This window comes from Homo sapiens, chromosome 3 (genome assembly GCF_000001405.40).
Source record: "Homo sapiens chromosome 3, GRCh38.p14 Primary Assembly".
NCBI classification, from domain to species: domain Eukaryota; kingdom Metazoa; phylum Chordata; class Mammalia; order Primates; family Hominidae; genus Homo; species Homo sapiens.
Window position 1 is genome coordinate 118,919,653 of NC_000003.12, and position 22,864 is coordinate 118,942,516.

General features: G+C 35.9%; 1 protein-coding gene across 11 annotated transcripts in view; it reads right to left on the bottom strand.

The window, feature by feature from the left end:
- Window positions 1-22,864, bottom strand: part of IGSF11 (immunoglobulin superfamily member 11) — a 245,464-nt gene that overhangs the window by 19,096 nt on the left and 203,504 nt on the right. For all 11 annotated transcript variants that reach the window (NM_001353320.2, NM_001353322.2, NM_152538.4 and 8 more), the window contains 3 exons: window positions 10,460-10,623; window positions 8,857-9,064; window positions 6,449-6,604 (listed from right to left, as the gene is read on the bottom strand). In NM_001353320.2, the coding sequence (NP_001340249.1) occupies window positions 6,449-6,604; window positions 8,857-9,064; window positions 10,460-10,623 (528 nt within the window). The remainder of the gene's footprint in view (window positions 1-6,448; window positions 6,605-8,856; window positions 9,065-10,459; window positions 10,624-22,864) is intronic.

Sequence of the window (22,864 nt, forward strand, 5' to 3'; positions counted from 1 at the left end):
CTGTTGGTGGGACTGTAAACTAGTTCAACCATTGTGGAAGTCAGTGTGGCGATTCCTCAGGGATCTAGAACTAGAAATACCATTTGACCCAGCCATCCCATTACTTGGTATATACCCAAAGGACTATAAATCATGCTGCTATAAAGACACATGCACACGTATGTTTATTGCGGCATTATTCACAATAGCAAAGACTTGGAACCAACCCAAATGTCCAACAATGATAGACTGGATTAAGAAAATGTGGCACATATACACCATGGAATACTATGCAGCCATAAAAAATGATGAGTTCATATCCTTTGTAGGGACATGGATGAAATTGGAAATCATCATTCTCAGTAAACTATCGCAAGAACAAAAAACCAAACACCGTATATTCTCACTCATAGGTGGGAATTGAACAATGAGATCACCTGGACACATGAAGGGGAATACCACACTCTGGGGACTGTGGTGGGGTGGGGGGAGGGGGGAGGGATAGCATTGGGAGATATACCTAAGGCTAGATGACGAGTTAGTGGGTGCAGAGCACCAGCATGGCACATGTATACATATGTAACTAACCTGCACAATGTGCACATGTACCCTAAAACTTAAAGTATAAAAAAAAAAACAATAATGTGTCAGACATGATACAAGATGATTTAAATAAAAGACCTCTTTAAATATCAAAAAATAAATAAATTAAATAAATAAATAAATAAATAAATAGAAAACCTCCAATAAAATATTAGACATTGAACCATACCCATAATCAATGATTTCAGAGGACAGAAGCTCTCAGATGACAGATTGAAAACCCATCTAAATCCAGATATATGTTGTTTATAAGCAATACACCTAAAACATAAAGCATGGAGAACTGAATGCCAATGAACCATACAATAGTAACGTACCAACAAGAATTGACCAAAGAAAGCCACTGCATCTTTTAATTTTAATAATTAAAAATAACACAAAAAGCTTATTAAACACAGAGAAAAACGAAATATAACAAGCTTGTAAGCATCTAATGACACACACTCAAAATGGGTAAAGAAAATTGGCATAATTATAAGAACAAATTGACAAATCCACAGTCTTACAGTGTGATTTTTAAACACATATTTCTCATAATAACATAGCTGAAGCATGTAAAATATTGCTAAAGATATAGCATATTGAATAATACAATTATAATGCTTCCTATGCAATGCATGTACAAATACCCTAACACCTGCAATATAATGGCTCTTAAATTCTCCACCTTGCTGGCTGCACTCCAAACACACTGGCCTCTTTGATATTCATCAAGTACATGGGCACACGCCTGCCTCAAAGCCTTCATATGTCCATTCCCTCTACCTGGAATGCTCTCCAGTCCCCATATTCACATGGCTCATTCCTTCATTATCTTTAAATATTTGTTAGAATATAATGAGGCTTACCCTAAGCACCTTACTCAAAATTGCTGCTCCTCATCCCCTAACTAATCTGTCTTACCCTGATCTAATTTTTCCCCACAGAACTTTTCACCTTGTAACAAATTCTGCAATTTGCTGATTATATTCCATCTCCAACCATTAGAATGTAAGCTCTACAAAGGGAAGAATATCTATCCTGTTCAGCAATGTATCTTCAGCACCTAGAACAGTTTCTGGCACCTGATAGGTGCTTAACAAACATTGGCGGGAGGGAGGAAGGAAATTTATGCAAGTTACAAAAGGTTAGATAAAATCAAAATCTGAGTTTAGCAAGATAGATTTTAAAAATAGAGGAAAGGCACATATAAACAGTATTAGGAATGAAAAGGAGACTAAATACAGAGTTTAAAACTTCATAAGAGAATAATGATGGTAATTTAAATATTAATATTTAGTAGGGACTTACACATGCCAGCTGCTGTTCTGCACATCTTACATGCTTATTCATTCAGTCTTCATCCAACCATAAGTTAGTCACGATGATTGTCTCCATTTTACATATAAGAAAACTAAGACACAAGGGCACATACCCAGTGATTCCTGGATTCAGGGTTCAAAACTATGTCCACTGTCTCCAGAACTTACACTCTTACATACATTATTCTGTTTTTGTATAGAGAATTCTATGAACATCTTGATGGTGATATGTATAACTTGGACAAAAAACACATTTTCCAGAAAAATAGGGTAGAGAAAATCTGTACCATTAGAGAAATTAAATCAGTAGTCAAAAATCTACCAAAAAACATAAGAGCAAGGCAAATTTTAGTAGGCAAATTCTATAGAATCATCATGATGCCCAACTTATTCATACTATTTCAAAGAATAGAAAAAAGGAAAAGCTGCCAAACTCATAAAATTATTTGGTATTATATGATACTAAAATTGAACCAGGACAATAGAAGACAGAAAAAAAAAACCCATAGGCCATTCTCACTGGTGATCACTGATGCAAATATTTTATTATAATATTGGCAAACCCAATGGAACAATTTATTTTTAAAAATCACAATCAAAAAGACTTTATTCCATAAATGCAGGGATGTTTTAGCAATAGAAAACGTTAAGTGTAACTTATTTATTGAAATTTGGTCCCAGATAATTATTTGTTGCGAGGGCTTTCCTTGTGCATTATGCAATTGTTTTTCTTTCTTCCCCAGCTTTATTGAAGCACAATTGACTAACAAAAATTGTATATATTTATGGTATATATTTTGATATACATATATACTGTGAAAAGATTACCACAACCAATCTAATTAACATGTCAATCACATCACATAACTACCTTTGTGTGTGTGTGTGTGTGTGGCTGGGAACAGTTAAGATCTCCTCCCAGCAAATTTCTAGCATACAATACAGTAATGCTAAATATAGGCACCATAGTGTACATTAGATCTCCAGGATTTATTCATCCTGAATAACTGCAACTTTGTACCCTTTAACCCACATCTCCCCATTTCCCCCACTCCCCAGCCCATGGAAACCACCATTTTATTCTCTGTTTCTACCAGTTCAACTATTTTAGACTCCTCATTGTCTTATCTGTTTAGGCTGCTATAACAAAACACCATCAACTGGGTATTTTATAAGCAACAGAAATTTATTTCTCATAGTTCTGGAAGGCTGGGAGCTCCAAGATTAAGACCCCAGCAGATTCAGTGTCTGGTAAGAGCCCATTTCCTGGTTTCCAGATGATGATGTCTTCTTGCTGTGCCCTTTCAGGACAGTTCTTTGGGTGGTCTGGGACCAACTCAGTTCTTCCCACTTTCTTGCTTGCTGTTCTCAAGAATAACTATAGAACATGCTGGGAATGCAACATCCTGAGTTAAGAAGGAACTGACTGGAACACCTCAGGCTCTGTTCCAGACCCTCCTAGAAACAGGATGTCCTTAAACACTTTAATGCAGTGATACTCAGGTATAAAACTCAGAGTGAGCTGCTTTCCGGGTTCTCTCAGCTGACGTGCAAGTGGACATGTGCATAAGAGACTCTATCTGTTCCAGGAAGCTTTTCTGAGCCTTGGGGAACTGGCTTTCAATGAATGCTAGGCTTCTGTTGTCCTTTGCTGCCTATTAAATAATAAATCCACTTCATGAAACTTGTTTTGTGTATGAATGCTCTGTCTCACCAGACTCGGGCAAGTAACCAGTGCACAGTAAACTTGCTTCACAGTCCTTACTTGGTGAAAGGAACTAGTTAGTGCGCTCAGTCTCTTTTATAAGGTTGAAGACATCATGCCTTTTTACCACTAAGTACTTTAGTGAATACTTCCTAAGAACAAAGACACATTTTATGTAATGACAGTACACGTATCAAAGTCGAGAAATTTAACTCTGATCTAATAGTATTAGCTAATCTATAGTTTATATTGTTTCATCAATTATCTCAACCATGTCCTTTATAGCTATTTCTTTTCCTGTTCAGATTCTAAGCCAAGATTCTTCATTACATCTAGTCATCTTAACCCACTTATGCCCAGTGTTCCATTATTGGAACGCTAAGCATGTGGGAGTTATTTACATCCTACTGCTCAAGGTCATCGCCAAGGTCTGATTGCAAAAAATAAAAAAATTGCAACCTCAGGGTTAACTCCCTAGTCTTTTTCAATTTGAACAGTTTTGCCTTCACGTTTGTTTGTTTGAGGTTTCCTCATAATGAGATTTAGGTTATGTGTTTTTGACAGCAATATCACAGAAATGATGTGTCCTTCTCAGTACATATATTAGGAGGTACGTGATAGCAGTTTGTCACAATATTGGTGAAGTTTACTTTGATCACTTGGTTAAAGTGGTATCCAACAGGTCTCTCCCTTACGAAGTTACTTTTTTGTCATTAATAAGCAATTTGTGGGGACATACTTTGTAACTAAATAGCCTGCTTCCCATCAAACTTTTGCTGTTTTCACCTCAATGATGATTTTCTAACTCCATGATTCCTTGTATACACATTAGTTGGCATCATACTGTGAAAAAAAACAGCTTGCCCTTTGACCCCATTTATTTATCAGTAGGGATTTGGTGATTCTTATTTTATTCTATGGACTATATATTTAATGTTTGAATTGTCCTAGATTTGGCCAGAGCGAGTTCCCTCAAGCTAGTCTCTACATATAAGAGAAATTCAAATCTCAAAATATTATTCCTCTGTCACCAATCAGACTTCCGGGATTCACTTTCCTGGTGTCAAATATTCTTTTTTCAGAAAATGCATCATGAGTTTATATTAATAATTTTAAACATAATTAGTAAAGTAAATCTTCTGAAAAAAATCTAAATTATTTTGGAGCAATATTCTATTTTGAGATCAACTTTATTAATATGGGTATCAAGAGATAAATTTAGATTAAAAATATTACCATTTAATGTACATGATTAATAGATATGGTTATCCAAAGTAACTTTGATAATCAATCCAGATTTTATAGAAGACAAAGTTTTCATCCGTCTCATTCAAGTTCACTTTTATACCTAAAGTTGCAAAGAGTATTCAAGTTGAAAAAAGGATATGATATCAAGAAATCTGACTGATATACACTCATCCAGAAATAAAGAGGTTATGGAAGGCTCTTTCTACAGCTATTTCTCAACTTACATACAAATAACCACTGTCAATTGTTCACTTAAAATTCCAAACTCCAACCAATATTTCACAGAGATATTATAAATAAAAAAAGAAAATACTGCCACAGAGGACCTTGAGGATGATACCCCTTTATTTTTGTTTAAAAAAAAGCAACAAGGGCCCAGAGAAGTGAACTGTTACAGAAACAGTGGAAAATCTAAAATTTGAATATAGTTTTCAGTATGTCAAGACAAGGGCTATTTTAATCATGTCACTTACAATGGTGAGATTGACAAATCATTCCACAAAAGCAGCTATTTAGCCAACAATGTGGCTGAAACATTTAGCAATGAACAACAGTATTGCAGGAATCACTCTTAAAGTAATAAAAGTTATTATGTTGAAAAGAAGTTTTTTTTAAATGATGAATTTGAGGCTAGGTTAATTAAAAGACTATTGTAAGGTCCATCAACATTTGCTGGGATTACTAGCGGAAATTTATAGGCTCTTAAGAGGCTTGTGGCGCTGGCTCTTTAATGTGAATAATTTTACTACAACTTAGGACTTTCCTTTTCCATGACAGGTGTGGACTATCAACATGATTCAGACTTACAAGGCATAATTAAGGTTGTTTGTGGCCTCTCCATTAACTGCCAACACTTTATGGTTAACTTTCAGATTTGTAAATCTACCCTGAGAATACTACAAGAAACATTTTCTGTATTAGAGATGACGTAATATTCGAAGCTGCTAAATTTCATTTTCTTGACCTAGAGTATTTTATAATAAAATTCTATATCTTCCCCTCATTTTATTTGACAAAATCTCTTCAATTTTTTAAGGATGTCCTATTTAAAACTAAATTTAAGCAGCTGGGTTTACACGTAGAAATCATCCATGACCCTCAGTCTTCCTCCATTATTACCTGTTTGGTGTGACCAATTCCTGGATCTCCTGTGACCTGAGGCCTTTTCCTTTACTCTTTCTTATCTTCCTCCTCTAACCAGATTTGAGGCTGAAAGCAGGAGGATCAACCCTCCTGACACTATGCTCACGTTTCTCCTAGTAAAATAGGCAGCTCTACCTCAAGCAGGAAGTGTATTCTCAGATATAAATTTCAAGGATTATCTTACAGTTAACACAAAGAAGCTATCATTTAGGTGCTTTAAATCTTCACGTGAATGGGAACAGTTTCCATATATAGTTACCACTGGATGAAATACATTTCATAAAGGCAATATAGAGAAGAGAGAGAAAATCTTTTATTCACTTTAAATTTGAAAACACAAAATGATCCAGAAAGCTTTTTCAGCAGTTATAGGGTGTTATTTTTCAAAACCTATTAAAGTTAATTACTTTTTGAATATTAGAATTGTCCATGATAACTAATAAAATGGGTAAAGCAGCACTGTACATACCCTGAGTAGCTGTTGGAGGTAGTTTGAGGGTATTGTCTAACTTCTCCCAAAGGTAAGTTGGTCGAGGAATGCCTTCCTCTGAGCTACAGAGCAGGATGACATCGCTGCCAATATCCTGGGATCCTTGGATTTGGCAGTGTGGGGCAGAAGGGGGAACTATAACAGGAAGAATAAGCAATAAAGTACACATTTTACTGTGAGCCATGTGATGATGGAGGAGACATCAACATTCAGTACATTGGACCCTTAGATTACACTGTTTTGGGAACATATACCAGGAGACAGACTCACCGCCTGAACCCAGGGGAGGCATGTACCAATTCACGAGGCTTAGGCACAGGAGCAGGCCTGCAGCTTTGGTAAGCAGGGGGCAAATATGTACAAAGGGGCTTCACTCTTTGATTATAGTTCCAAGGTATCTTAAGATCTTCCTTTCACTCTGCTTCCTCTAAAGAAGAATTCTTAAGATCCATTGTATCAACATGTTGCTTTTAAAAACATTGCTGAAAGAGGCCACTTTTCAAGATTTCAGGGAAAAACAACCATTATCCTGCCCTGGCGAAAACCACTTTAACAAGGCCCTTTGTTACTTTACAAACAAAAACTGGGCAGACCCACTTTATACCAAATTCTGCTTTATGGTGGAGAAAGTTAAACTAAGGTTCAGGTAAAAGCAGAGTGGATAATAATGTAGTGAACATTTCACAATCATTAAGGCAGGACACAAAAAACATGGAACAAAAATTACCAAAAAGAACACTAAAGGAAGAAGGTGGTGATATATAGTAACAAGGAAAAAAACAAAACAAAACCATAAACTAAGCCCATGGCTTGAAGTTTCATGCTGGGGAATACAGATGGTAGAGTTTAAGTCTAATTTATGATTTATTTGTAATGCTAATGACTTTTCAGTAAATATGTTCACCCTTTCCAAAATGAATAAATGAATGAATGAAAAAATGAATGCAGAGTATACACAGGAATCAGGAAAAAAAAAAGTGGGTAGGGGAAGAGAGAACAATAAAAGGATATAGGTAGGAAGAGTAAAAATCTTAGAGAATCCTAACTACTGCGGTGGGGCAAACTAATCTTTGTTTGCCTTTGTCATTGCCACTGTGATGCCAGGAAGAGAAACCCAAAATAATTCTTTGGAGGTAGCATTAATTATAAAATAAATTAAGGGCTTTTTATCTTCTTTTTAAAAATGATGCTGAGAAGTTAAGTCTGGACAAACAAAAAAGAAATAAGGTTGGATAATATGGGAAGCCAGTCACCTAACTTACAGGTCTAAGTATCAGAATATTTAATTCCATTAGTACACTATACTCGGTACTCAGAGTATTTTATAATCTATACAATTTTTAATATAATACAATGAATATGGTTTTGAGAATAGAAATCCCCGACTTGGTCATCAGTTTTTTTATTCTGTTTGAAGGCTGGGAGAAAAAGGCACCAAAGGCCGAGGGAAAATGACAAGAATTCCCAACACCTGTATTCTTAAGTGACTCAACAACAACGAAGGAAAAAGAAAGCGGGGGTGGAGTTTGACAAGGACTGCGGGAGTAGATTCTGAGACTTGAGTAGGATGGAGGAGAATCAAGAACATCAACCTTCTCAAAACGTCTTCCATCTCCCCAGATGAACTGAGTTTAGCCACCTCTACCACAAGTATTCATTTAGAAAGCAGTATTTTATATTAGAGACAGAAGAATTGAAAAATAAAACATGCTTATAATGGATATTAGTGTGAGACAGTCTAACAACATGGTGTAATGGAAAGAGTGCTGGTTTGAGTAAGGAGATCTAAATTTTAATCTAAACGTTGTTGTTTATTTTCTATGCAATCTGGGGAAAAAAAACCTAAATCTATTTGGTCTCAGTATTAAGGTGATAATATGATTTATTCTTCAAACAAGGATACTTGGGGGAGTAAAAGGAGGTATTATTACAATTATGCCAGGACAACACGTGCAAGCCAAGAACTGTGGTGATCCTACTCGGTGTTACACAGATATGAAGTAATAGTATTATTCTCACACATGCTAAAACTTCTGCTCTGTACTAAAATAAGTCATTCTTGATTTAATTTGCTCTCAACAATAAGTTCTGTACTGTAGAAGCTTAAGAAAAGTGAGAGACCACTTCTGATGGTATTTGATACCATCTTTCTTCACCTTCAGAAGAAAGTCATTAAATAAGTAAGTTTTAGAGACCGCCGGAAATGAAGAAAGGAGGGGGAGACTATCTGTAAGAAGCATGGAGAAGGAGAGAAGAGATGGAACTGAGAGAAGACAGAAAAAGAACATAAGCAGACTGAAGGTGTAGAAACAAGGGCAGAAGCAAGTATGCTTGAGAGTAGCTTCGTGAGTAAAGCCCGAACAGCCAAGGACTCTTGTGTCACTCACCTAACACTGTGAGACCGGTGACCCCAATGTTCCTGCCCCCTATGTCTGGAAGGTTGTTGACCAGGCACTGGTAGGTGCCAGTGTCTGATAACTGAGTGTTATTAATGAAGATAGAGACATTGGTAGCTGGCATGGTGCCTGTAAATCCTACCCTACCGTGGAACCGGGGGGCACCATCAAACATCTGTCCACCCTGATACAGGATGACCTGGAAAAGAAAGCAAAATAAATAAACTGGCCACTCTATCCTCTCCTAGACACAAAACAATAACTATTTGGTAGACAGTACCAAATGCTGCACCAAACATTGGAAAATTTTATTTCTAATATGATAATTATCATCAACTTTTTTTTTACAGTATTTGTTCATAGGTATCTTGGGGTTTTAAATTCTCACATAACAAATTAGAATAATATTTTTTCCTTACCTAACACATCAGAACATAAAAAAAGTCTTTGCTGCTGCCCACCCTACTATCAGTTCATAAATATTCTTACCAGTTCAAAAAACTGATTCCAAAACAAAAATTAAAAAATATTAGCACTGCCATTCTCATGCTTATTAGGTCACACAATGATAGATCATAGGTACAGACTGAATGTAAATAAATGTCACAGAAGGGAAGTAGAGTTACAAGTCCATGATTACTGTTCTTATGTCAGCCTCTACTATCAAAGTTAAGTCTTCATGGAAGACTTAGAATGACATAACAAAAAGCCCTTTGGGCTGCGAGTGAGGGACTCAGTTCTATTCAAGCTCTACCTGTAAATGTGTTTAGTAACTCTACTCAAGCTCTTTACTTAAACTCCATCCTTGATTCCTAAAATAATAAGGTTGAACAAAATGATCTTGAAGGCGGAGTCTAACTACAAAAATTCTATGAAGAAACAAAAGAAGCTTCTATTTAATTTCATATCAGAAAATTTAGCTTATCAAATATTTTGAGGTAATAATAATCTTACTGAAGGAGAAAAGCTCCATTAACATTGTAAATAAAGGTGTAATCATTATCACAATTCATTAACTTCCTGAGCATTATTTTCTGCAGTGAGTTCTACAAATTATGTGTCTTTTTCCTGTAATTGATACAGCTTACTGGGGAGTAGCTTCCATTTTCATGTACATTCTTTCACGTACACATTCTATTAATAATTTATATGAGACTCTTTGAGCTCACTAACATGGCTAGTCATGTTTTACTTTAAAATACTAGTGAAATTAACTTAAAAAAAATCAAGTACTACAACCTAATGTTACTTCCTTACTATTATCACTATCTTTTAAAAGTATGCTCTCAACAATCTGTGATGGTGCCAGTCCCTTCTGGTCAAAATTGCCTATTAGCAATGTTGTTGATAAAATTACAGGTTCCTACATAAACCTCTCAGAAGGATATTCTTAACATCTGTTACCTTTTTAAAAAGAGGATAGCCTCTTCTGATAAGTGACTGATAGGGCAGAGGAGTAGGCCTTAAAAGAGTACACGCACATTGACAATGCCACCTTATTCTCGAAACCAAAGATGTACTCATGATGCTTCCCTACCAACCTCCTCTGAAAAGATTAACCTTTTAGAGGTAGCACAGGATGCAACAGAAATACCTGTTCAGGTTGGTTGGCATTGGAGAGAGGAGTGACCATCCAAATGACATTGAGGTTAATGAGGGCAGCGCTGGTAGTGAAAGTGCAGGGCAGGACTGCTGGCTGACCCCGGGCCACCTGGATACTCCCAGGGCTCTCTGACACTTCCAGGGATGCTGCAACACCTACAGAAGAAGGAACAGGGAGGTTATATGCTCGCCCTTTCCCAACAGTCCAAACTCCTTCAGGAAGGTTTGCGTGTTTTATGTTATCACATTATTATTGATTATGTGAACAGACTGACATGATAGTCTTAACAACTGCTGACCAGTCACTGAGTCAAAATAATAAAAATGGTTCATCCCTTTACCTCCTGAAAACTACAATAGAAAAATATTAGAAGCTCTTTACTATCTTTTGGAAGATGCTATCTGATATGTGGCCAGATTCAAATACGACACAGATGAATTCAACTGATGGGGTTTGATGAAAGATTAAAAATAAACTGAATTTTCAAAGTGTTGTTACATAAGCACACTGCAAAATTAAATGCTTACATATAAATCTAACAAATCACATAAATCTAACAAAATATGTACAGCACCCATACAAGAAGAGTATACAATGCTAATAAAAGAAATCAGTAAGACTAAATAAATGCAGAGATATGTAACGTTCATGAACTGGGAGAGTCAATCTTAAGATGCCAATTGTCCCTAAATTGATCTATAGATTCAGAGCTAGCCCAGTCAAAATCCCAGTAGTCTTTTTGCAAATGTTGACAAATTCTAAAAAATATAGAAAGACAAAGAACTAGAATAGCCAAAAGAATACTGAAAAATAAGAACAAAGATGAAGAATTCACACTACCCAATTTTAAAACTTGCTATATAGCTGTAGTAGGACAGTATGGTACTAGCTTTTTAAGGATAGACATATAGATAAATGTCACAGGGTTGAGAGTACTGAAATAAATCTTTATATTTATGGTCAAATGCTTCTCAATAAAGGTACAAGACAACTACATGGGGCAAAAATAGTCTTTTCAACAAATGGTGCTGGGATAATTTGATAGTAATATGCCAAAAATTAAATATTCTGAATATAAAATCAACAGAAAATGATCACAGACCTAAATAAAAATCAACAGAAAATGTTCATAAACCTAAATCATCGTAACATACAAGTAGTCAGCAATTTCGTTTACTAGGAATCTACTCAAGTAAAATGAAAATGTATGTCCACACAACGACTTGTCCATGAATGTTCATAACAGCATTATTTATATCATGTCCTGAAAAGGAAATAATACAAATATCCATCAACTGGTGAATGGACAAACAAAATGTGATCTATCCATACAACAGAATACTGTTCAGAAACAAAAACCATCAAAGTACTGATACATCTTACAACATGCACGAGCCTCCCAAAACATATTTCTCAAAGAAGCCAGATGCAAAACACTGCATTCCACACATATAAAATGTCTAGAAAAGGCAAATCTATAGAGACAGAAAATAGATTAGTACCACCCGGGGATACACAGGCATAGGGACTTGTAAATAGACTTACTGGGACTTTTTAGTGATGGAAAACTAGGTTCCTGTGATGGTTGTACAACTCTGCAAGCTTAAAAGTCACTGATTTTTTTTTTTTTTTTGAGACAGTCTCGCTCTGTTGCCAGGCTGGAGTGCAGTGGCACAATCTTGGCTCACTGCAAGCTCTGCCTCCCAGGTTCATGCCATTCTCCTGCCTCAGCCTCCCAAGTAGATGGGACTACAGGCGCCCGCCACCATGCCCAGCTAATTTTTTTGTATTTTTAGTAGAGACGGGGTTTCACCGTGTTAGCCAGGGTGATCTCGATCTCCTGACCTCGTGATCTGGCCACCTTGGCCTCCCAAAGTGGTGGGATTACAGGCGTGAGCCACCGCACCTGGCCAAAAGTCACTGAATTTTATACTTCAAAGGAGTAATTTTATGGAATATAAATTATATGTCAACAACACTTAAAATTCTAAAAAAGAAAACTGATTCACCAGAGCCAACTCATGGGAAGTCAAAATAACTGTTTTCTCTTCTGCAAAGGCTCCTCCCTGGGATGATGAAACAGTATGGAAATAACAGTAGATCAAAATAGGCCATGGAGACCCTACAAAGAAGTTATTTTAGATCATGAAAAATACATTCAGTCTATGACAGTATCTCAAACTGTTTTACTTTGAAGTGATAGTATCTCAATTCTCTCAAAAAAGTAACAGAATAACATACTGTTATGATTACAATTAGTTTAAAAAATAAACATGCATAACACCTTCCCTGTACAGAACGTCATGTTCTTCACGTATAGTCTGATGATGTTCTCAGGAGTTAAATTTGCAGAATAAAATGTTTCATAAACTGTCTGTGATAGAACATAAAGCATTTGATGACATCAGGAAAAGTTTCTAAGATAAATAACATTAGGGGAAGTCTCTAAATTTTAAAAAAGAAGTTGAAAGAACCTCAACAATTAGTGACAGAAAGGGAAGGTTACTTGATCATGGAGCAGGCAATGAACAGAATGAGCTACCTCATAAGGTAGAAATGGGTTAGAGAATGTATTTGTTATAGTGATATGATAAATTTAAAATAAATGCTGATAGAGATGTTTTTAAGAATAAGTGTGGAAGCCAAACTGGTGCCGAACCTCCATCACTGCCTTCTTGAGACAATACTTCAAGGAAGAGGTAAAGGAAATATAATGCCAACTTAAACTACACGGGATTGTAAGTACCCTCCACCAGCAATTCACTAATTTCAAGCTTAACTCAAACAATCTTTGATACAAATTTTTTAAAATGACCAATATGAACTAAGAATGAAAGAGAAAGAGAAAGCAACCGCAACAGGGTGAGCAGAGGACAAGGAGCTGTGTGGGACAGGGCTGGAAGCCAGGAAGGCAACAGGACGGTTGGCACAGAGCAAGCCTCTGGGGCAGCAGAAGTTGTGAAAGGCCAACTTCACTTACTTCATGTTTTTACATAAGGTCAATCCTAAAATCTCACATTCTGAAATATCTGAAGAAGAAATATTCTAGATGAGCTGCTTTCAGAACTTGCAAAGGTGTAGGTTTGAAACTGTACAAATCGGGTTTAAAATGTGGTACTTTCATCTATTTAGCTGCATGTCCCCAAACAAGTAACTTAATCTCTGAGTCTGTTGCTTCATCTGTAAAACAGAGCTAAATATTATCATCACATCATACAAGGGGTATGATGAGGGCAGTACCAGACGCTGAGGATGACTACCACCACCACTACTATTGCTAGCTAATATTTAGGTCACACTGACTACACCAAGTCCACATTAAGCTCTCTCTACATATAACATGTATTTTTTATATATATATATATATATACACACACACACACATATGTATACACAAACTCATTTAATCCTATAAGGTACTTACTGACATTATTTTCATTTTACAGAAGAATAGAAAAACAGAGAATTAAAAATACAGCTCAAGGTCGCACAGTCGCAAAGCTAGGAAGTGGTAAGGTCTGGCTTCAAACCCAGGCGGTTAGTCTATAAGGAACACACACTTACTACTACACATAACTCAACACACAGAAATCATTCCATATGTGTTTGCTGTTATTATTATCACTACAATATTATATGATGACAAACTTTAAAACTAGAATGGACTTTTACGTAAAGGAGTTAGAAACTCCTTCTACTTCCTGCTTCTCAATCTGCGAATCAGTTTCAGTCCGCCTCACCCTCATCTCCCTCTCTCCTGTCAGTTTAGAGGAGTTTATCTAGGACCAACCCTGTACGTGAGCTTCAAATACCATCTGCTTGGCCCCCTTAGTGACCTTATCATAGACTTCCCCCTCCCATAACTTCAACCCCTTTCTCTGCACTGGAGACTTCCTGATAGCATTTAAACATCCTCAAGTATTTAAACTGAAAACAAAATTCCTACTTCCCTACACCCCACAGTCCTCACCAGGGAGGCCCTAGCTCTCTGATACTTCACGTTAATCTTTTTGAAAGCACTCTCTATAGTCTCTCCACAGAATCTATTCCTGCTCCATAGTCTTCAATCTACTTCTGCCCCAATCATTTCTTAAAAACAATTTTCCCTAGGCTTCCCAGATACCTCCTTGTGGCTGTATGACACTTGTAATCATTCTTGGACTCTGGTAAACATCTGACAGAGATGACCCTTCCCTCTTCCTTAAAACACACCTTTCCCTTAGCTTCAGTGATGTTAATATAATTCACTTCTGGTTTTCCTCCCAACTCTCTGGACACTTCTCACTTCCTCTTGCTGTTTTACCCTTTTCCACATGGATACTGAATGTTGGTATTTCTGAAAGTACTGCCTTGATGCCTTATTCTAAACTATCTCCCTACAGAATTTCACTTACCATCATGAATTCAATTCTCATATAAATGCTAATGGCTTTCAAATTTATATCTCTACTCAAAACCTCTCCTCTTATATCCAATTGCCTCCTAGACTTCACCATGTGGCTACCTCAAAGGCACCTCAAAAGTGTGCTTGTCCAAGATCAAACTATTCCTTTGCATGCCCACCTCCCAAATATACTCTGGCTCCTTCCTGATGTTCCCTATGGTTGTGAATGGCTCGAACAGGGCCAAGCTGGGCAAGCCAGACATTTAGAGACCTTCAAGTCAACTCTGTCATCATCTCCCAAACCCAATCCATGATCAAATCTGGCACATTTTACCAACTAAATTTCTCTTGACTCCTGGAATCTGAGTCTTTGCTCTGTTTTCTGTCTTTCCTCTGTCTGGTTTGCTTTGTTCCAAACCTCAACTTCTTTACTTAGTAACCTACTCATAAACCCCAGCTTCTTTACTTAGTAACCTACTCATCATTTACAATAGCTCAAGTGATACCTTCTCACAAGAAAAGCCCTGACCTCTCAGTCTAGGTCAGAGTCTCACAAAGTAGTGTCAGAACACCACCAAGCTTTTAATCATACCTTGCGATTATATAACAAATCCTCATTAGTATACTGTATGGTCTAAGAAAGCACACCATGGGAACTCAATACATACATGTTGCTAAATTGATCTAATCCAATTACTTCAATTTCCACATGAAATATCAGGGTGTATATACATATATATATGTATATATATATAAATATATACACACACCCTGAGGAAATATCAGGGTGTATATACATATATATATATATATATGTATATACACCCTGAGATATATATATATATACATGTATATACACCCTGAGATATATACACACACACACACACACACATACACACACACATATACATACGTATATACATATACGTATGTATATGTGTGTGTGTACATATATATATCAGATGCCAAAAGAGACTTTTAAGACAAACTGCCCTGAAGAATTTGCACAAGGAAGATGGCTGAAAATTGGTTATATAACTTTGAGGACTACACAAAGGGAATAAATGAGTCAGGGGTGAAAGTCTGTAAAGAGGCTTTGTGGAGAGAACTTTTAAATTAGGGCTGCGGTACACTAAAAGACTCACTCGCTCTATTCCCACCTTGGAGGTGAACACACATGAAAGCTGGTGCAGGGTCTTCTTAGGCCTAACAAGAGGGCTCGCTGATGGGACCTCAGTAGAGGAAAGTTGAAGCCGGATATCTAGACTCCTAGAGGGTATCTCACTGGCCATCAGGGAGTCATACTTATAATTCTGTATATAAATTAAGATTTTCTTATTCTGTTTCATTTTTTAAATTCAAAGTGATCAGAAAAGTTGTATAACCTGCTTTAGTTCTCATCTAGGGAAAGAACTGACTCATGAATGAATTTAAAGGTATGCAGAAGACGAAATTAAGTTACTCTGTGAATGTGTCTCATGGTTCCTCTTTAGTATATTGATAGAACTATGTGTAATAAAAAGTTTCTTAGAGTAATAAAAAGTTTCTTAGAGTAAGAAGGAGGGAAATGGGTGTTTTTTTGCATTTTTGATGCTAAAATTTTTTCTATCCTATTAAAAAAACCAAAAACTCTATTTCCTCTTAAAGGATATTTCCATGTTTGAAATTCTAGGCAAGAATTTAAACTTGAATGCTAAATATTAGGTTAAAAATCCACTTAGGCTGGGTGCAGTGGCTCACACTTGTAATCCCAGCACTTTGGGAGGCTGAGGCAGGCAGATCACTTGAGGTCGGGAGTTCGAGACCAGCCTGGCCAACATGGTGAAACTCCATCTCTACCAAAAATACAAAAATTAGCCAGGCGTGGTGGCAGGTGCCTGTAGTCCCAGCTACTTGGGAGGCTGAGGCAGGAGAGTCGCTTTAACCTGGGAGGTAGAAGTTGCAGTGAGCCAAGATTGCACTACTGCAATCCAACCTGGGCGACAAAGTGAGATTTCATCTCAAAAAAAAAAAAAAAAATTTAAAACATCTTACAATTTGCAATATTTACATGTAAAATGCATAATTTAAGAGCCAAAGTGACAGCATTTTGCACTTGAATCTTTTCTTTGTACTTTCACTTCAGTCAACTCCATGAATTCTGAATGACTCTCAGCAATTACATAAAAAGGATATAAAGTGCATGGTCATATTTCCTCTGAGGAGTTAAAGTCATAAATACAGTTGTCTATAATCTTTCTTTAGACTCCTGTTTCCCAAGATTTAAAGCAGAAAGGCATTCACATTATTTCAAACCTCTTGGTACATGTTAGGGGAAATGAAGCTGGCAACAAAGAATCTTTAAAAATCCTAGGAGGTACCATCCACACTACACAGCCAAGAGAACAGACAATGGACATTTTACTGTGATCTGCCTACTACTAGAGTCAAATGACATGAAATCCCCCCTGCAAACTCATCAGAGATTGAACGTTGGATGTTCACAATGGGGACTGGCCCAAGCAATCCAATGGAGATTTCACAACAGTGTTCTCTGATGACTATGAAGCAAGTGCTCATGTTTCAGGATTAGCCCAACTGCCAGAACACTTCCCTCTGGGAATATAATCAGCAAAGCATCAAAAAGACCTTTATGGCACTTTGGGAGGCCTATGTTATCCTTCTGCCTAAAATGTCAATATCAGTGGTCACAAAATGCTTATTAGTTTATATCATCCCATATGATCTCACAAGTATTTCTCACATAAATACATGTAATACAAATTTATATAACCTATCAAATTAAGTTTTATAGTTTATCAGACTGACATGAGTTCAAAAAATAAAAATTGTACACTATCCTCCTTGTTTTCTGAAGGAAACTAAGGAATACCACAATTCTCTAGTGTTGTAGTAGTTTTTTAAACAAATCATTCTCCCTTCATATTTTAACCAAATTTTAATTAGATGAAATAATCTACCTTTATACTTACCATATAATCTTTTTACAAACTGCCATCTCAACTAAAAAAAAAAGTTTGTGTTAGCTGAAATTCAATTATATTTTGGCCATCTACTCAGTGCTAAGTGAAATGAAGAGTAATAGCTGACTAATTTATCAATATAGATGGCTCTATTACATATTGGTCATCTACATTAATCAATTTACAGGATCACTGCCAAGCTTCTACTTCATTTTATGCCATATCACAATATATTTTATGGTTGGTGTACAACGGCAAGCTACCATAAAATTATATATCTTCATTTTCTGGCTGAAGCATTAAACATTCATTACACAGTCTATGTAACATGTAATAGTCTGGCTGTAATATGTAATTGTATTCTATTTCTATGGTACTACAGTTTCCCTTTAGATATAATTTCAGTGCTTTCTCATTGACTTCTCCCCTTCAACCACAAACATTGCTCAGAGACCATCCCAAGGGCAAAGAGCATGCCTTATACTGAACTAATGCACACTCTTTAGATTATCACTCCTCTTTGTCACTTTCCAAAAGATATCTCTCTCTCTCTCTCATATATATATATATAAAATGTGTGTGTGTGTGTGTGTGTACATATGCATATGTGTATATACATATGTGTGTGTATACATGCTTACTTGATTCCTACATGTCATGGCATATATATTACGTGGGTAGCATTAACTCAGCAGTATCTCCAAAAACTTGGTGTGAACTTTATCAGAATTCTCTTCAGCAAGTTTCCTATTATCACTTCCTCCTGACTTCATATCTGGCTATCAGCTTACGTATTCTACTCCATTTAGGAATCCCCTTTTGGGGGGCATTTAGTAACACCAGGCCTGCATTTCGCATGGCCATTGATTAGTGCTGCCCCTTTAGACAAAGCAGGAGCTTTCCACACTGCCAGGATCCCCACCCACTTCCTGTTATTCCACGATATAACCCACTTTACTCCATCATGTTACCTGTCTGACTCCTGTGGGCATTTATGTTTGCAACCCCTTATTTAAAACTAAGCAAGTAATGTGATTATAATTAGCCATAAAGAACCAAGGCACAAAAGCAGAACCAGGCTTTGCAGTGTTATGATGGACATGCTACTATGATTGCTACCACACTCAAAACTGACTTCAGAGAAAGGAGAAAGAAGCAATTCCTTGAACATGAGTCACTATGGTTTATGACATAGGATCTTATTTACATCCTGGCTACAAGTGATTGTACCAGAAATCAGCATTTCACCAAGGAGAGGCTGGACACCTAATTATGAGGTAACTTATAAGATAATATAGTTTGGGAAAGCAAAGAGTTTGGGAAAGCAGTAGCATGTGAAGAAAGAAGAGTCAAATAACTAAAACAGGCATAGAGAGGGATATTACATAATGATAAAACGGCGTGCTGACTCATCAAGAACCTAACAGTCCTGTGTATGCACCTCACAACAGAGCTTCAAAGTACAAGAAGGAAACACTGACAGAATTAAAAGGAGAAAAAGTGAAAAACCTGCAATTATGGTTGGTGACTGCAACACGTCTCAATCATTAACTTATAGAACAGACAAAAACAGTAAAAACACAGAAGACCTGAACAATGAACTTAACATAAATGAAAACTTTAGGATGTTCTACCTAACACCATAGAATATATATTATTTTAAAGTAGACATGGAACATCCAATAAGGCAGAACATATTCTGGACTATAAAATGAACTTCAGAAATTTTTAAATAATTAAAGTTATACAAAGAACATGAGTTAAACTAAACTCAATAGGAAGAAATCTAGAAAACCATCATGTATTTTTTTTTTTAAATCACTTCGGGCCAGGTGTGGTGGCTCAAGCCTGTAATCCCAGCACTTTGGGACGCCAAGGCAGGTGGATCACCTGAGGTCAGGAGTTCAAGACCAGCCTGGCCAACATGGCGAAACCCCATCTCTACTAAAAATATAAAAATTAGCCGGGTATGGTGGCATATGCCTGTAGTCCCAGCTACTTGGGAGGCTGAGGTAGGAGAATTGCTTGAACCCAGGAGGCAAAGGTTGCAGTGAGCCAAGATCGTGCCACTGCACTCTAGCCTGGGTGACAGAGCAAGACTCCGTCTCAAAAAAAAAAAAATCACTTCTAAATAATTCACAGGTCAAAGAAGAAATCACAAGGAAGATTAGAAAATATTTTTAATTATGTGAGTATGAAAACACAACTTATCAAAATTTATGGGGAAGCAACCAAAGCATTACTTAGAGAAAAGTAACAGCAGCATCTAAATGTGCATATTAGAAAAGAAGAAAGGTTTATAATCAATGACCTAAGTTTCCACCTTAAGAAACTTTTTAAAAATTAATTTAAATTAAATCAAATGCAGGCATACAGAAGCAAAGTATCAAGACAGAGTAGAATTCAATAAAGACAGAAAAACAACAGGGTAAATCAATAAAATCAAAATTTAGTTATCTGAGGTCAATAAAATTTATAAATCTCTAACCAGACTGACAAAGAATAAAGAGAAAAGTCACAAATTATCAATTCAGATATGAAAGAAGAGACATAATTACAGATCCTACAGACATTAAAAGAAGAACAAAGAGATATTATCAGTACCAATAATTCAAACAGCTAACAAATTTAATGGTAAAAGATTTTCCTCCTACAGTAAGGAACAAGGAGAGATGTCTGCTCTTGCCACTTCTATTTAACATGCAGATTGTAGTCACTGCAATAAGGCAAGAATAAGAATTAAAAGACATATAGATTGAAAATTTCAAAGTAAAACTGTATTTATTTGCAGATAACACATCTACATTAAAAATTCTTACAAGTCTACAAAAAACCAACTAATTCTAATAAATGAGTTTAGCAAGGTTTCAGAAATCAAGGCTAATATACAAATAGCAACGATTTTTCTATACAGTAGCAATGAATATTTGGAAATTAAAATTTTAAAATGATACCACTTATAATAGCATCCAAAACATGAAATACTTAGGGATAACCTTCAGAAAATATCTGTAAGATCTGTGCAATGAAAATTACAAAATTTTCCTGAGAGAAATTTAAAGACTTTACTGCCTGGAGAGACAAACTGTGACCATTAGTCAAAAGACTCAATACTGTTAGGAGGTCAAGTCAACCCAAATTTATCTTTAGATTTAATAGAACCCAAATCAAATTTTCAGTGAGCTGTTTTGTATAGACAAATTGCTCCTGAAATGTATGTACAAAAGTGAATATTAGAATAGAATAATTTTCAAGAAAAAAAGTAAGTTATAAAGTAATATAGATAAAGTAGCATTGGAATAAGGACATATAGAGAGTCCAAAAATTGATTCATACATAAATGGGCAATTGATTTCCAACAAAGTTGTCAAAGCCATTCAGGGGGAAAAGTTTACTCTTTTTGAAAAACTGCACTGGGGGAAAAAATAATCTCCATATGCCAAAAAAAAAAAAAAAAACACCTCTACCCTTATTTAATACTTTATATAAAAATTAACTCAAAATAGATAAAAAATTTAAACATATCAATAAAACTATAAAACTTCTGGAAGAAAACACAGGAGAAATTCTCTATGACTCTGGGTTAGAAAAAGCCTTCTGGAATAGGATACAAAATGCATTAACCACTTAAAAATGGGTAAGACCTCATCAAAATTATTGTTTTGATAATAAAACAATAATAAAACAAGGTAAGTTTCTTGTCTTCAAAAGACACTATTAAGAAAATAAAAATACAAGCCATAGGTTGGGAAAAAATATTTTCAAAACACAAGTTCTTGTATTTATAATATCTAAAAACTCTTAAAATTCAACAAAACAAACAGTCCAATTTTTTAAATGCACAAAAGATTTGAACAGACACTTCACTATGCATAGAAAGTATACAAATGAGTAATAACATCCTGAAACGATGCTCCACTTCATTAGTCAACAGGGAACTTAAAACCACATTGAGATAATACAAAACATCAACTAGAATATATTATATTAACACGACAATGCTAAGTGTTGACGAGAATGTAGAACAACTAACTCTCATACATTTCTGAAGGAAATGAAATGTAGTACAGTCATTTGGAAACATTTTCATATTTTATTACAGAATTAAATGTACACTTAACTATACAATCTAGCAATTCCAATTCTAGATATTTATGCAAGACAAGTAAAGATACAGATCTACAGAAAAACCTATATGCAAATGTTCACTGCATCTTTATTTGTAATAGCCAAAATACCAGACACAACTCAAATGCCCATCAACTTGCAAATGGATAAAACAATTGTGACACAGCCATTTAATGAAATATTACTTATGAACAAAAAAAACCTCAAACTTCTGATATATGCAAAATGACTAAATGTTAAAGCTATTGTGCTAAGTGAAATAATCCAGAAACAAATGGCTATATACTGCATGTATCCATTAAAAAAAAATCTACGGAGAAAGCAAAACTATACAGGCAGAAAACAAAGCAGCAGTTGCCAGATGCTGGAGCTGGGACTGAGGGTTAAAGTTTGGCAGAGAATACTACATAGGGCATAAGGGAAGTCCTTGGAGTTACAGAAATAGTGTACATCACGGTTATGGTAGTGAACACAAGACGAGACATTTGTCAAAACATAGCAAACTATATACCTAGACAGAGGGATTTTATTGTATGTAAGTTATACTTTAAAAAAATGTTTTTTTAGAAAAAGGTATGTTGGGAAGCTCACAGAATCATGGAAATGGCTTGAAAAACAAATTAAGGGCTAATCTTCCAGGAAAACATCCATAACTATACTGTAAAACTGGCTTAAGAAAATTGCTGCAACTGTCCCTGTCACCAAACCCCAAATGCCAAAACTTTACTGCAACTACGAATGATGTCCCAGTGCTATATCAGGCACTTAACCCTACAACACTACCATCCTGCAAAGCCATACTCTTATGCTGCTATCTGTGCTAGCAATAGAAGCTCAACATAGAACTTGTTCTGTCACGTTTCTTCTTTCAAGTTTCTTCTTTCAAGTCAGGGCCAGAGACTCTCTATGTGAATCTGACTG